This window comes from Homo sapiens, chromosome 11 (assembly GCF_000001405.40).
Source record: "Homo sapiens chromosome 11, GRCh38.p14 Primary Assembly".
Taxonomy (NCBI): Eukaryota; Metazoa; Chordata; class Mammalia; order Primates; family Hominidae; genus Homo; species Homo sapiens.
In genome coordinates, this window is record NC_000011.10 from 45,801,504 (window position 1) to 45,817,459 (window position 15,956).

The following is a 15,956-nucleotide window of genomic DNA, read 5'->3' on the forward strand; positions in this document are numbered from 1 at the left end:
AAGCCCCAATATGATGGTATTTGGGGATGGGTCTTTGGAAGGTAATTAGGTCATGAGAGTGGAGCCCTCATGGTGGGATTAGTGCTCTTATAAGAAAAGACATGAGATCCTCCCCCCACTCCACCCCCATCTATGTGCCAGGTGAAGACAGAAGGAGAAAGCAGCCTTCTACAAGCTGGAAGCAGCCCCTTGCCAGACACCAGATCCACCTGGGCCTTGATCTTGGACCTCCCAGCCTCCAGACTGTGAGAAATAAATGCTTACTGTTTAAGCTGCTCAATCTATGGTATTTTTGTTATAGCAGGCTGAACTCACCAAGACACTTCCCTTCACCATCCACTAAGTCACATGGTTCATCTACTTAGAAGGAAGGCTGGGAAATGTAGTCTTTGGCTGGGCAACCATAAGACTAGCTACAATCCAATTATTTTGGATGAATGGGGGAGTGAATTTTGGTAGACAACTAGGAGTGTCTATCACATAGGGTAGGCTCATGAGTCCTTGTTGAACTCAGAGTGAGACAGTCAACATCTGTGTGTTCCCAGAAGTTCTCAAGCCGCACAGGTACAGATCCACTGACCCCTGAACCTGGGAAGTTAGTTCTGTTCACTGTGACTGGCAGAAATAATTTCCTGCTGACATTATTAGTGGCTCCCAGCCAAGGCAAGAAAATGAGACTACACCCATAAAGGAACTATTACAGCCCTTCAGCTGCCACGTTGATGATCTTATGCTCTACCTCACACCAAATTCACACCCTGGATAATCACTGTTGGCAAGACCTAAAATTTCACCCTTTGTGGATGGTTTAAACAATTAACATTCCTTAAAGAAAATTCAAAAGCAAACCATTTATGCAAGGTACACAATTCCCAGGGGCCTTAGACCCCCTAAGAAACATCCCCACCCCTCCTTTCCCTCATAAGGGATAAAATGATTAGAATCCAGGAAACTTGCTGTACTGGCCTGTTAACAACCTTAATCCAAGGGAGTGACACTAATGACAGAATTTCAGGTATGATGTGAGAGATTGGAGACAGGGGTATACTTTGGCCTCCATAGAGAGCCCACACTGTCCCCCACACACGCAGCACTGACTGCCCCTGGGCCTCTCTCAGCGAAGTGCATCTGGCCTATATACAAGATATATCTCTTCCCTCCAGTTCAAGGTGGCAGCAGTCATCAGACAAGTTCCTGCTAATGTGCTAAGGAGAAGGCCCTTCCAGATCACCAGGGCCTCTCAGGGACAAGTTTGCCCTGTCTGTCACTAAATTGTTTGTCATGGTGAACTCTCGGGCATAAGAGAGGAGAGACTGGAACAGATACGAATTGCTCTTAATGAACCAAAACCCACAGCTTCAAAGGAAAATCCCAGAGGTAGACTCTCCAGGTGGGGTTGAGGAGACCAGCTCAGTCCCTCTTGAGTCTTTCTTTCCCCAAAGGGATATTTTAGTTCCAAAAGTGACAAGGTAACCAGATGGTATCCTCCAGGTGGAGAACAGCCCACAACTAGGAAGCAGAGTCTCATTCCTTGAGGAGGAAGAGGGGAGTGCTAGTACCCGGGGCTAGTGGAAGAGGGTAGGGTGTGGGCCCGGCTCGTTGTGGGGCAGCTGTTTACTTCACTGCAGCCTGCAGCCCTCCCATTTCCCTACAGCCCACCCAGGGCTGCGCTCAGCTCCAGTGAAGGTTTGTGCAGTTAGGATCTGAGAGTTTAAGCGTACTATATAGGTTTTACCTTTTTATTCTGGAAATTTGCAAATGTACACAAAAGTAAGGAAACTCTTATAATGGGTCCTTGTGTATCTACGCCTAGCTACAACTATCAATGGCTTATCTTATTTAATCTATCAACCTTTTAAAAAAAATCTTTTTGAGGTCAGGCACGGTGGCTCACGCTTGTAATCCCAGCACTTTGGGAGGCCGAGGCCGGCGGATCACCTGAGGTCAGGAGTTAGAGAACAGCCTGGCCAACACGGCGAAACCCGGTCTCTACTAAAAATACAAAAAATAACCGGGCGTGGTGGTGGACGCCTGTAATTCCAGCTATTCGGGAGGCTGAGGCAGGAGAATCGCTTGAACCCGGGAGACGGAGGTTGCAGTGAGCTGAAATAGCACCACTGCACTCCAGCCTGGGCGACGGAGCGAGACTCCGTCCCAAAAAGAATAAATAAATAAAAATAAAAAATATTTTTGGTAAGTATTCTTAGTATTTTAAAACAAATCCCAGCCATGACATCATCTTACCCGTTAATTAAATGGCACTAATTAAATGGTGCTTGAAATATTACAAACATCTATGTTCGACCATACCACCTAGAGTTCTGGGCAAGAAGGTTGGGACCCACAGGTCAAGCCTAGCCCCTTAGTTTTACCATGAAGATAACTCAGGCCGTCGGAGAAAGTGGCCTGCCCAACGCAGGTGCTAGAGCGCGAACCAAGAGAAGTCGATCCTCCTGGTCTCCCCGGCTGCCTGGTGAGTGGCAGACCACAGGCTAGACTTCCCAGGCCCCGGCCCTGGAAGGGGCGGGGAACCCTCCCCCTCACTGCCAGCTGGAAGAATCCGAGCGGTCCCCGCACGCACTTCTGGAAGTGCAAGCCGGTAGCGCGGCGGGCCAGGGATACAGCCAAGTCCCGGGACGTGCCAGCTGCGGTAACTGAAGCCGGGTCCCGGGCGGGCGGGGGTACCAGGGACAGGAGTAGCCTTGGAAAGAGGAGAGGGCCTCCTCCCACGACCGTCCGGATCACCGCCTCTCCGCCGGCACCCCCGGGGCCCATGCCGCGAACAGGCCGGCGAGGCTGGCAAGGTGCCCGGGCCCGGGGCGGAAAGCAGGAAGTCGATCCCGCGGGCGCGGCCCAGGGTGCGGCGCTGCAGATGCAGCACGGGGTCGCGGGGCGGGCGCCCAGTGCACCGGAGGAGGTGAGCGCCAGGTCGCCTTCGCGGCCCGGGGACACAGGCAGGGACGCGGGAGCTGATGCGGCTGGACCGGCCGGGGAAACAGTATTTTCTGGAAGGGGTAAGAGATGCTGTCTTGAGCCTTTGGAATCTCGGATCCGGGCCGCCCAGAGGACCTCGACAGGAGCACAGGGAGGACAAACTGAAGTCCGAGAGAGGCGGCGTGGCCTCCGGCCTCGGGGAGCGCTGCCGGGGGTCTCGGGCTTGGGAGAGGGCCTGGGGGCGGTGAAAATGGGGGGAAAGGAGGGGACCACAACATTGTTATGGAAGAGTGAGCTCGGATTGGCAGAGGGACGCGGGGCTGCAACGCGAGTCTCCGGAGGTGGAGGGGTCCAGGCTGATGTAGCGCCGCCCGGGTCCTGGGTCGGGGTTCCGGGAAGTGGACCTGCGAGCCAAGCCTAGCCAAGTCGGGGGACGGAGGCTCCGGGGCGGACGGAGCTGAGGGTGGGCAGGCGAGGTTGATGGAGCCCTTCCAGGAAGCAGGGCGAGGCTCAAGCACCCAGAAAAACCTGTGGCTGCCGAGGTCCCCCGCCAGCAGCGGGCAGCGGAGCGCAGGGGCGGGGCTGGGGACTGGCGAACTCCGCCTCTCTGGGGCTGTCGCTTTAAGGGCAAGGCGGGGCGTGCGGGCCCTTTAAGGCCACGTGGGGGCGTGTCAGGAAGTGAGTCCAGGGCCCGCCTCCCGGGGAGTCGGCCTCGGATGTCCGGAGGCTCCTGGGCTGAGCCGGCGACAGAGCCCGGGAAGGCAGCGAGACGTGGGCGCCGGCCCAGCCCCCTCCCGCGTCCTTCAGCCCCAAGCCCCGAGCCCCTCTGACCCTTCCGCAGCCCTCCCTCCAGCCGCGCCCGGCCTCCGGCAGCTCCCTGTACGCCTCCCTCCCCCTGCCCGCCCCTCCCTCCCACAGCCGCCCATGACGCCCTCTCGGCACCTCTTCCCACTCTGCCACGCGTCCTTTTCCTGCACCTTCGCCCCGCGTACCTACTCCTGCCCCGCCCTGCCATTCCTCTCCCCTCCCTTCTCTCTGCGACCCCTCCCTGTTAGGCCCCAGCCTCTTCTCCCCTCACAGGTCTTCTCTGTCCTGGCCTCACCGCCTTATCCTATTCCTCTCCCTTGCCCTGTGTCTTGTCTCAGAGCCCCCTCGGGGTGGGAGTAGGTTGTGGAGCAGCACAACTGGGCTCACCCCAAAGCAGAACTTCTCAATCCATGAGGACAATGGGGAGGCCTTTAGGCCAGCCCACATGTGACAATGGAGGGCTGCGGCTTCCTTGCGGAGAGCACAAGTGAGCTCACTGCCCTGGACTCCAGGGAATCAGAGTTCTGGCCGCGGGGTGACCCAGCTCCTCTGCTACCATGAATAGGGCCCCTCTGAAGCGGTCCAGGATCCTGCACATGGCGCTGACCGGGGCCTCAGACCCCTCTGCAGAGGCAGAGGCCAACGGGGAGAAGCCCTTTCTGCTGCGGGCATTGCAGATCGCGCTGGTGGTCTCCCTCTACTGGGTCACCTCCATCTCCATGGTGTTCCTTAATAAGTACCTGCTGGACAGCCCCTCCCTGCGGCTGGACACCCCCATCTTCGTCACCTTCTACCAGTGCCTGGTGACCACGCTGCTGTGCAAAGGCCTCAGCGCTCTGGCCGCCTGCTGCCCTGGTGCCGTGGACTTCCCCAGCTTGCGCCTGGACCTCAGGGTGGCCCGCAGCGTCCTGCCCCTGTCGGTGGTCTTCATCGGCATGATCACCTTCAATAACCTCTGCCTCAAGTACGTCGGTGTGGCCTTCTACAATGTGGGCCGCTCACTCACCACCGTCTTCAACGTGCTGCTCTCCTACCTGCTGCTCAAGCAGACCACCTCCTTCTATGCCCTGCTCACCTGCGGTATCATCATCGGTGAGTGGCAGCTGGGGCCACGGGGGATAGAGTGGTCATGGGGACTGAAGCAGTGAAGAACAACTCTTCTAGGCATCCTAGGACTTCATCTGTCCCAGCTCCTTTGGTGCAGCAGTCATAGGAGAAAGAGCCTGGGGGCACAGAGAGAGCAAGTAACTTACTAAAGGTCACCCAGCAAGTTAGGAGCCCAGCCGGGGCAAGAACAATAGTAATAATAATAGTAACAACAGCAGCAAAAGCAACTGACATTTGTTGAGTGATTAAAATGTGCCAGGCACATGGATCTTAGCCATATTAACTCAGCTAATCTTCATAACAAGATGGGATTATAATCCACATTTTACAGAGGGAAAAACCAAGGCACAGAGAAGTTAACTAACTTGTCCAAGATCACCCAGCTAATAAGTGGCAGAGCTGGGATCTGAACTCAAGCAATCTGGCTTCACAGTTCACATGCCCGACCACTGTACTTTATTGTTTCTCAAGAGCTCAGGTGTCCTGATTTCCCAGCCAGTGCTCTTAGTAGAGGACAATACGTCTTTTAATAAATATACCATCACTCTCTGCCAGCTCAGGATAGCGCCTGAGACAGTAGCAAGCAATATGCTTTGAGAGGCCTCAGCTGTCTTCCTGGACTTGACCCTCAGAAAATAATAATTATTGATGGGGAAATTATGCTAATTATTTCACATATAGCATCTCCTTTGTTCTCCCAGAGATCCCCTGGGTTGTGGCATCACTACCAGCGGTCATCTCTATACAAACAAGGAAACTGAGGCTCAGAGATGTTACATTACTTGCCCACGGCCACACAGCTAGCAAGCAGCCAGGCTGGGATGCAAACCCAGATTGGCCAGACTCCCAGGCCTGTGCTTCTATCCCCTCTGCTCGTCTTGGAGGTTAGAACTGCAGTATTCAATGCAGTAGCCATTGGCCACTTATTTAAATTAGTTAAAATTAAGCAAAATGTTAAACATTCACTTCCTCATTTGCAGATGTTACAACCTGATTTTCTAGCCACATTTCAAGGGCTCAGTAGCCAAATGTGGCTGAGGGCTATGGTATGGGACAGCACAGGTTAGATGGGCCCATATTTTACTGGGCCCCATGCTGCGTTAGAGAGCCTCCAGCATCCCATTCCCTCCGAGTCTTCCCAGGGCTGCGTCATCTAGGAATGGGGTCTTCATTTGAACCTATGCTGGTTTTTCCTGGTGCTATAAAGTTTATCTTATTTGGCCTACATATCATATTCTTTGCTGATGGCTCAGGGTCCCAGGCTAGATGCACCGGTTGGTGGGGGAAGGGACCCATCCCATGCCACCTGTCCTAGAAAATGTTTCCCCTTGTTGAGCAGCTGCTGGATCTAGGGCTGCTGGGTCTAAGTCCAAGAGGGGAGAAGGGAGAAGGTCACAGTTAGAGTAGGGGAAGCTGCAAGACCCCCCCTGCCAGAACTCTCCCAGCCTGCTTCCATTTCCCTCTCCAGGGAACAGGTGTACCTCCCCTCCTCCCTGTCCTCCTCAGATGCCCCAGGGCTCTCTACTTCATTCCTGCTGACCCTGCCAGGAGTGGCCTCAGGGGTAGAGGCTCCTAGTTGGAGAATTTGCTTGCAGGAAGGTGAAGACACTAGGGTAACTGGGCCCAAATCCCAAAGGTAATCCAAGTAACCAGTGGTGAGGTTCTGAGAATGGTGCATTCACGGGCGTGCCTGACTGGGACAGGGGCCAGGGAGGTGGACGCTCTCTGCCAGCCCAGGACCTGGCTCCCTATCTGCAATGTTTCCTCTTTCTTCCTCCTTGTAGGGGAAGACGAGTCTCAGGCAACTATTCTAGGCCTCCCCTCCTAGCCCCCCATGTCACACAGTAACTTTCAAAGCTCCTTCTGGGCCAGGCACAGTGGCTCATGCCTGTAATCCCAGCACTTTGGGAGGCTGAGGCAGGTGGATCACCTGAGATCAGTAGTTCGAGACCAGCCTGGCCAACATGGTGAAACCCTGTCTCTACTAAAAATACAAAAAATTAGCCGGGCGTGGTGGCATGTGCCTGTAATCCCAGCTACTCGGGAGGCTGAGGCAGGATAATTGCTTGAACCCGGGAGGCAGAAGTTGCATTGAGCCAAGATCGCGCCACTGCATTCCAGCCTGGGCGACAGAGCAAGACACAGTCTCAAAAAAAAGTTCTTTCTGGGCAAGAGTCGCTCTAGAACATTGATGTTGCAGTTGCTTCTGGACTCAGAAGGTAACCACCAGGAGGGCTAGGGGTGCTGTAGCCAAGCAGGTGAGTGGGTGGTGCAGCCCTCTGCCCCCCTCACCCTACCCCCAGCAGGTCTGTGGGTACCCCTTGTGCAAAGGTTCTGTCAAGAAAGAGGAGGGTCGGGCTCTGTGGTTGGGCTGGGCATGGTGGCTCATGCCTGTAATCCCAGCACTTGGGGAGGCTGAGGCGGGCAGATCACCTGAGGTCAAGAGTTCAAGACCAGCTTGGCCAACATGGTGAAGCCCCCTCTCTACTGAAAATACAAAAATTAGCCAGGCATGGTGGCGCATCCCTGTAATCCCAGCTACTCAAGAGGCTGAGGCACGAGAATCGCTTGAACCCAGGAGGCGAAGGTTGCAGTGAGCCAAGATCGCACCACTGTACTCCAGCCAGGGTGACACAGCGAGACTCCGTCTCAAAAAACAAAGAGAAAAAGAGAAGAGTGCTGTGTGTTGAGTGCCTATGATGTAGGAAGTATCCTGTCTCCTTTAATACAACCACCTCCATAACAACTTTCATTCATTCATTCCACGACTAGTAATTGGTGGCTAAACACATGCCAGGCACCATGCCAGGCTTTGGGGATACAAGTTTGGAAAAGGTAACCTCAGCTCCTACACTCCTGGAGGGCATGGTGGTGACAGTTACGCTAGCATAGTAAGGGCTGTGATGGGGCATGCATAAAAGGGGCTGTGGGAGCTCTGGGCAAGGGAGGGGACCCGGGGACAGGGCAGTCTAAGCAGGCCTTCTGGAGGAAGTTTAGAAACTGGGTTTAGAGGAAGAAGTAGGGACAGAACATTCTAGATAGAAGGAAGAGCACGTGCACTTCTTCATGGCTGGGCCACAGCAAGACTCACCAGACACAAGGCTGCCCAGTCAGGCCGACTCCACGTGGTGCAGGTCCTAAGAGCTGTGGTGAGTGAGTGGAATTTCTCCTGAAGGCAGTGGAGAGCCACAGAGAGGCTTCACACCAGGGCACAGCCTGGACCGATCTGGACTTCAGGATGATCATATCAGTTGCAAGGTGGAGAGTAGATTGGCTGGAGTGGAGGACAGGGAGGTGACCCAGAGAGCTCAGAGTGGTTAAGTAACTTCTCCCAGGCCACTCAGCTTCTAAATTGCAGAGCCTGATTGGAGGCTAAATCCCTCTGACCCCAAAACTTTCCCCACTGCCCCGTGTTGCCAGATGCTGTGGCAGGAAGTATAACATGCATTGTTCAGCCCCTGGCTTCTGGGAGCATGGGATCTGGCTAAAAAGACCAGACTGTCACCATGGGCAGGGGCCCAGCAGCCCAGAGCAGGCAAGGGGCTTTGCAGGAAAGCGAGGCAGTAAGAGTCCAGGTTCTGGGATTATCAGGAAAGGATTCCCCAGGAGAAGCCAACTTTGACCTTGACAGATGAGTAGAATCCCCCAGAAAGGAGGAGGGTGTTTCTGGCACAGGACATGAACAAGGACACTGAGGCCCAGGGTGAGAAGCAGGGAGACGAGCAGGGAAGCTGGGGCGACCATAGGACAGAGGAAGGGCCTGCACCCCCGCCTGCCACGCCAAGGAGTGTAGTCCTCATGGCAGAAGTGGGGAGCCACGGAAGCTCTTTGAGCAGGAAGTGACACAAGATGAGAGTCTCAGAGTCACTGCCCCAAATGACACAAGAGATTCTAACTTAATGTGCCCCATGATGACATCATAGGCTCCCATTCCATGCAAGAAGCAGCCAAGGCTTAGACACTGGAAGTCATTTACGCAGGGTCACCTTAAATCACATTAACCACTAAGTGGCACTCATTCTTCAGAACTCAGTTCAACTGTTATTTTCAGATGCCCCAGGCCAGCACAGTCGCCCACTTACAGGCTCTCACAGCACCTTGTACTACTTTATGGACCTCATTACAATTCTTACAATTGTAATTAAAGAAGTAACTGGGAAGATTTGTTTTAATGTCTTTCTCCTCTGCTAGCAGATAAGCTGCCAGAGGAGGTTTTCTTGCCCTGGGCGGCTCCCATAGTTCATGTGGAGTGCTTTGCCTGCAGTGGAGACTCTGGCTGTGCTTATTGGAGGGAGGCCTGGGGAGGAACGGGGAGGGCCGCAATACTCAGTCTGTGAAATTTGGTGTCTGATCCTCTGTCCTTCTTCCTCCTCGTCCTCATCCCTCTTCCTCACCCTTCCCCACTCCTCCTCTCCCCACTGCAGGGGGCTTCTGGCTTGGTGTGGACCAGGAGGGGGCAGAAGGCACCCTGTCGTGGCTGGGCACCGTCTTCGGCGTGCTGGCTAGCCTCTGTGTCTCGCTCAACGCCATCTACACCACGAAGGTGCTCCCGGCGGTGGACGGCAGCATCTGGCGCCTGACTTTCTACAACAACGTCAACGCCTGCATCCTCTTCCTGCCCCTGCTCCTGCTGCTCGGGGAGCTTCAGGCCCTGCGTGACTTTGCCCAGCTGGGCAGTGCCCACTTCTGGGGGATGATGACGCTGGGCGGCCTGTTTGGCTTTGCCATCGGCTACGTGACAGGACTGCAGATCAAGTTCACCAGTCCGCTGACCCACAATGTGTCGGGCACGGCCAAGGCCTGTGCCCAGACAGTGCTGGCCGTGCTCTACTACGAGGAGACCAAGAGCTTCCTCTGGTGGACGAGCAACATGATGGTGCTGGGCGGCTCCTCCGCCTACACCTGGGTCAGGGGCTGGGAGATGAAGAAGACTCCGGAGGAGCCCAGCCCCAAAGACAGCGAGAAGAGCGCCATGGGGGTGTGAGCACCACAGGCACCCTGGATGGCCCGGCCCCGGGGCCCGTACACAGGCGGGGCCAGCACAGTAGTGAAGGCGGTCTCCTGGACCCCAGAAGCGTGCTGTGGTGTGGACTGGGTGCTACTTATAGACCCAATCAGAATACGGTGGTTGAGAAGGAACCAGTGTTTACAAGTAATATCAGAAAGTTGAAGGAACCAGTGTTTACAAGTAATACCAGAAAGTTGCCAAACCCTTCTCTATCCTCTCGTATTTCTGAGTTTTTGTCCTTCCCGAGGGAGCACCCTAGTGAGAGTTGAACCCCTTCCTTCTGCCTCCAGGGCCTGTCTGCCTCCACATCACTCTGAGGACAGGGACAGGCAACAACCTTGAAGGGACAGCAATGGCAAAGCCACAAAGGCTTCACTGTACTCAGGGGAGATGGCCCTACCACAGCCACCTGGAGAGGGTTGGGAAGCCTTCCGTCTGCGGTGGGCAGGCAGCCTCACCCTGGGCCCACAGACCGGCCTTCCTTTGGAGGAAAGTGTGGCCTGGACTGAGGGAGGAAATGAGCGAGTTCCCTCTGACACCAGCAGATCCCCAGGGGCTGCTGGGCAGTGGCCTGGGAATGGGGTGGATTGTGAGAAAGTGCTCACCATCTATACACCCTGTATGTCCAGCTTTTGAACACAAGGGAACCATGCTTCTCTTAGAGGTTAAGCAGGGTCATTAACATCCTCCCCCAGTCCCTAACATCACATTGTCCTGCGTGGCTCCTCTGGCCCTGAGTGGCACCTGTCCCTCTGGTCTCCCAGCACCTGGCCCAGGTAACAGCCTTCTGAAAGCAGAGCCAAGGAGCTGCTTCTCTCTTCTCCCAGTTCTACCTCCCCAGAAGCCTTCCTCCCCAGGTGGGGCTGATGGAGCAAGGGTCCAGACTAGGAGCCTTCCACCCCAGCTGTGTCTGGCGCCCCTAGATCTCTGCAAGGGAGGTGTTACAGCTGGTTCTGAGCCGCTTGCCTTGTGATGGTAAGACACCAACCTTTACATTCTTCCCTGAGGTTGTGGCTGACAGAGCCTGCTTGGCCCCACTGTTAGTCCAGCGAGCTCCTATATCAAAATGCCGTAGGCCGGGTGGCTTACAAACAACAGAAACGTATTGCTCACAGTCCTGGGGGGCTGGGACGCCCAAGATCAAGAGGCCAGCAGATTCGGACTCCGCTGAGGGCTGTTTCCCGATCCATAGATGGTGCCTTCTCGCTGTATCCTCAATGGTAGAAGCACAAACAAGCAAGCTCCTTCCTGCCTCTTTTATAAGGACTCCAACCCTGTTCATGAGGGTTCCGCCCCCATGACCCAATCAGCTCCAAAGGCCCCACCTCCTAATACTGTCACCTTGGGGGTGAGAATTCCAATGTGAATTTGCAGGGGGAGTGGGGGACACACACAAATTTCGGGGCCATACCACCCTTCACCACACCCTCCTGCGCTCAGGGTGGCTTGCAGTCCCTGGCCCTTCTGGTGGGCATTTGGTATGTCCTTTCTCTTGGGGTGATTTCTGATGTTTTTACTCTATATAGTGAAAAGCTAGGGAGAGCGGGTCTTCTCCCCCCTCCCTCTCCAGTCCCCTCACAATCCCAGATGGGTTCTAATGCAGCTGCTGGGGCCTGATGCCCTGAGTTGTTTGTGATTCAATAAAGAATCCATAAGATCCTGTGTGTGTGGCCTGAGGGAAGAGGCAGCAGGGCTGGAGAGGATTTGTGAACAGGGCCTGGGGGTGGAGGGGAGGTTGGGACCTGTCAGAGGCAGCAGGGCTGAAGAAGGTTTGTGAACAGGGCCCTGGGGTGGAGGGGAGCTGGGGATCTGTCAGGAAGGAGGGCTCATCCCTGCCTTCACCAAGCCCACCCACCAGCAGGCAGCCTTTCTAGGAGCTGGTTCTTTCTAAGGATACCAGGCTCCTTCCTGGAAGGTAGGTGACCAGACTTGAAGTTTCCTATTAGTCGTAATTGCCATTTACTGGATGCTTGTTGGGGGCCATAGGCTGTGCTGAGTGTTGTACATCCACCCTTGTGAAGTTGAGAAGTTGTGAAGTTCATCTTCACAACTCCCCGTGGCCCCTTAGGTGGGAGCCGTCACTGATCTGTTTTTTTTACACATGAGGACACTGAGGCTCAGAGAGGGCCCCAGGAAGGAAGAGGCAGGAGGAGGATTCAGAGTTCTGTGCCTTCAGAGCTTGGTACTTAACTCTACCCCAGCATTCTGAGTCCAATACCCAGCACTGTTTTTTGTTTTTTTTTTTTAACAGAGTCTTGCTGTGTCACTCAGGGCTGGAGTGCAATGGCGCGGTCTTGGCCCACTGCAACCTCCATCTCCCGGGTTCAAGCGATTCTCCTGTCTCACTCTCCCAATTAGCTGGGATTACAGGTGCCTGCCAACACACCAGGCTAATTTTTCACATTTTTAGTTGAGACGGGGTTTCGCCACGTGGACCAGGCTGGTCTCAAACTCCTGACCTCAGGTGATCCACCCACCTCGGCCTCCCAAAGTGCTGGGATTACAGGAATGAGTCACCGTACCCAGTCTACCCAGCACTTTTCTGAGCACCTGTTATATGCCAGGCACTGTGGTAGGTTGTCTTAGTCCACTTATTGTTGCTATAAGGGAATATCTGTGGCTGGGTAATTTATAAATTAAAAAAGACTCATTGGTCGGGCACAGTGGCTCTAGCCTCTAATCCCAGCACTTTGGGAGGCCAAGGCAGAAGGATCACGAGGTTAGGAGTTCGAGACCAGCCTGGCCAACATAGTGAAACCCTGTCTCTGAAAAATACAAAAATCAGCCAGGCATGGTGGCACGCACCTGTAGTCCCAGCTACTCAGGAGGCTGAGGCAGGAGAATCGCTTGAACCTGGGAGGCGGAGGTTGCAGTGAGCCAAGATCACACCATTGCACTCCAGCCTGGGTGACAAAGTGAGACTCAGCCTCAAAAAGAAAAAAGGCTTATTTGGCTGATGATTCTGATGTCGGGAAAAGTTCAAGGTTGGGCATCTGGTGAAGGCCTCAGGCTGCTTTCACTCTGGGAGAGCCAGCTGTGCAGGGATCATATGTTGAGGGGGCGAAGCAAGACAGAGGAAAGGGGAGATGCCCCAGCTCTTTTTTTTTTTTAAGGCAGGGTCTCACTCTGTCACCCAGGCTGGAGTGCAGTGGCACAATCGGCAGTCCTCCCACTTCAGCCTCCAAGTAGCCAGGACTACAGACATGCACACTATGCCCTGGTGGATTTTTTCATTTGTATTTTTGGTAAAGACAGAGTCTCTTTATGTTGCCCAGGCTGGCTTTGAACTCCTGGTCTCCAGCGATCCTCCTACCTCAGCCTCCCAAAGTGCTGAGATTTCAGCCGTGAGCTACCACACTGGCTGCCAGGCTCTTTTTAACAACTAGTTATCATGAGACTAATAGAGCAAGAACTCACCACCCACTCAGGGAGGATATTACTATAGATTAATTAAGAATCTATATTATAATCAATAATTAAGAATTAATCTATATTATAATCTTAATAATTAAGAATTAATCTATATTATAATCTTAATAAATTTATATTAAGAATATTAACAGGCCGGGCGCGTGGCTGACGCCTGTAATCCCAGCACTTTGGGAGGCCGAGGCGGGCGGATCACACGGTCAGGAGATCGAGACCATCCTGGCTACCACGGTGAAACTTCGTCTTTACTAAAAATGCAAAAAATTAGCCGGGTGTGGTGGTGGGCGCCTGTGGTCCCAGCTGCTCAGGAAGCTGAGGCAGGAGAATGGCATGAACCCGGGAGGCAGAGCTTGCGGTGAGCCGAGATCGCGCCACTGCACTCCTGCCCGGGTAACAGAGCGAGACTCCGTCTCAAAAAAAAAAAAAAGAATATTAACAAGTAATTATTAATCTATATTAATATTTAATAATTAATATATTAACATTGTATGATAATATAGTAGTAATAATATATAATAGTTAATATATTAGTAATATGTACTAGTATATTAATAATATTAATACATATAGTTAATGTATTCATACTATAATATTAATGATTATATTATTATTGATATATTGATAATATAGAATTGATACAGTATCAATTATTATAGCATTGATACAGTATCAATTATTATAGCATTGATACAGTATCAATTATTATAGCATTGATACAGTATCAATTATTATAGCATTGATACAGTATCAATTATTATAGCATTGATACAGTATCAATTATTATAGCATTGATACAGTATCAATTATTATAGAATTGATACAGTATCAATTATTATAGAATTGATATATTACTAATTCATGAATAATATAGATTATTCATGCGGCATCTGCCCCTGTGACCCTCCCATTAGGTCCCCACCTCCAACATTGAGATCAAATTTCAACATGAGGTTTGGTAATAAACATCCACACTATAGCAGTTGTATTAATATGAAGACCCGGATCTGCTTCCAGGGGATTGCACATAAACAGGCATGACAGCCCCATAACAGAAGCCACACTGGACATCTGAACATATTGCCATGAGCAAGCAGAAGGTGGACAGACCAAGTGTGGCGAGTCAGCCAGGTCCTCACAAGGGCCAGGATAGTTGAATAGGCTTACTGAGTGAGCAGAGGCCTCCAAGAGGAGAATTGGAGAAGAACAGGGAGAAGGTTAAGCTCAGGAAATAGCACAAGTGGGAGTGGTGAGAGGTTTGGGGCTTGGAGCTGGAGAGGAAACCAGAAAGGCAGGGTGGGATGTGGGGTGAAGGCCTTGAATGCAGTGGTCAATCAACATGATCGGATTGATGGCTATGCCATTGCCAGGTCCCTAAAACAGAATGGACATGATCATTTCTGCACCCTTTGTACACTCAGAAAATTGGGACTATTTTCTTAATGCTATTTGCACTTTTTTGAGAGAAATCTAAGCTGGGCATGGTGGCTCATGCCTGTAATACCAGCACTTTGGGATGCCCAGGCAGAAGGATTGCTTGAGCCCAGGAGTTCAACACCAGTCTGGGCAACAAAGCAGGACTCTGCTGCTACAAAAAATTTAAAAATTAGCTGGGCATGGTGGTGTCTGCCTGTAGTCCCAGCTACTAGGGAGGCTGAAACAGGAGGATCACTTGAGCCGAGGAGGTGGAGGCTGCAGTTGATTGCATCACTACACCCCAGCCTGGGTGACAGAACAGACCCTGTCTCTAAAAAAAATTAAAAATAAAAAAAAGAGAGAGAAAGATCTAAATTTCAACTTTTTACCAAAAATGCTTAAATGCAGACAAAAGGATGCATGGCTTCGGGCTTCTCAAATATAAACAAATTCATGAGTTAAAGTAGTTGAGAGAGGGCCTAACTCTTAGGACACAGTTGAACAGCCCTCACCCACTGTGCAGGACTCCACACACACACATACAAAGACACACAGTGTAGGTAGATGGGTTTGGATCCACACAGTGCCACAGGCCCCAATTCTCATGCAAATGAAGCCCAGGGATAGCCTGAGCCAGCTGGCCAGCATCCCAGCCAGGTTCCACTGTCAGCACCGCCCCGCAGCTCATCTCTGTGATATTTAAAGGGGCCAAGACCACCTCCAGGAATGATGTTTCTCTGGCAAGAAAGAAGAGTGATACTTCCCCCACCCACCCCTGGCCTGAGCCCAGACTGTCTCCCCTTTTCTCTTGTCCCTTTCAGAAGGCGGGGATGTAGATACTGAGCTGCCCAGTTTAAAAAAATAGTGGGCCAAGTACAGTAGCTCACGCCTATAATCCCAGCACTTTGGGAGGCCGATGCAGGCAGATCCCTTGAGCTAGGAGTTTGAGACCAGCCTGAACAACAGTGAGACCCCCATCGCTACAAAAAATTAGCTGGGTGTGGTGGCTCCCACCTGTAATCCTAGCTACTTGGGAGGCTGAGGCACGAGAATCGCTTGAGCACGGGAGGCCGAGGTTGCAGTGAGCCGAGATCACACCACTGCACTCCAGCCTGGGTGACAGAGAGACCAAAAAACAGTGAAAGACATGGAGAATTTAGGAACAGTGACCTACCACACGCCTCTCCTGCGTTGCCCTTTCACTTCTGCTTTTGAAGAGCACCTGATCAGGGGTCAGGAGACCTAGTTTCCACTTCTT

General features: G+C 52.6%; 1 protein-coding gene across 7 annotated transcripts, besides 4 other annotated features; it reads left to right on the forward strand.

Annotated features, from left to right (window-relative positions):
* Nucleotides 2,441–2,600: an enhancer, noted in NCBI's record as "active region_4665". NCBI's record gives its function as "activates an Ori minimal core promoter by ATAC-STARR-seq in GM12878 lymphoblastoid cells {active_cell/tissue: GM12878}" and the evidence as "EXISTENCE:reporter gene assay evidence [ECO:0000049][PMID:35858748]".
* Nucleotides 2,576–11,513, forward strand: SLC35C1 (solute carrier family 35 member C1). Of its 7 annotated transcripts, none has more exons than NM_001145266.2 (3): nucleotides 2,576–2,917; nucleotides 4,307–4,833; nucleotides 9,273–11,513. In NM_001145266.2, the coding sequence occupies exons 2-3, from the start codon at nucleotides 4,338–4,340 to the stop codon at nucleotides 9,830–9,832; spliced, it is 1,056 nt and encodes a 351-aa protein (NP_001138738.1). In that variant the 5' UTR covers nucleotides 2,576–2,917; nucleotides 4,307–4,337; the 3' UTR covers nucleotides 9,833–11,513. The 7 variants fall into 7 exon arrangements, with proteins under 7 accessions (NP_001138738.1, NP_001412084.1, NP_001138737.1 ...); NM_001425155.1 differs by having other exon boundaries at nucleotides 2,903–3,014; nucleotides 4,080–4,833; NM_001145265.2 differs by having other exon boundaries at nucleotides 2,903–3,014.
* Nucleotides 2,771–2,940: a silencer, noted in NCBI's record as "silent region_3287". NCBI's record gives its function as "represses an Ori minimal core promoter by ATAC-STARR-seq in GM12878 lymphoblastoid cells {active_cell/tissue: GM12878}" and the evidence as "EXISTENCE:reporter gene assay evidence [ECO:0000049][PMID:35858748]".
* Nucleotides 3,671–3,900: a silencer, noted in NCBI's record as "silent region_3288". NCBI's record gives its function as "represses an Ori minimal core promoter by ATAC-STARR-seq in GM12878 lymphoblastoid cells {active_cell/tissue: GM12878}" and the evidence as "EXISTENCE:reporter gene assay evidence [ECO:0000049][PMID:35858748]".
* Nucleotides 5,865–5,924: an enhancer, noted in NCBI's record as "active region_4666". NCBI's record gives its function as "activates an Ori minimal core promoter by ATAC-STARR-seq in GM12878 lymphoblastoid cells {active_cell/tissue: GM12878}" and the evidence as "EXISTENCE:reporter gene assay evidence [ECO:0000049][PMID:35858748]".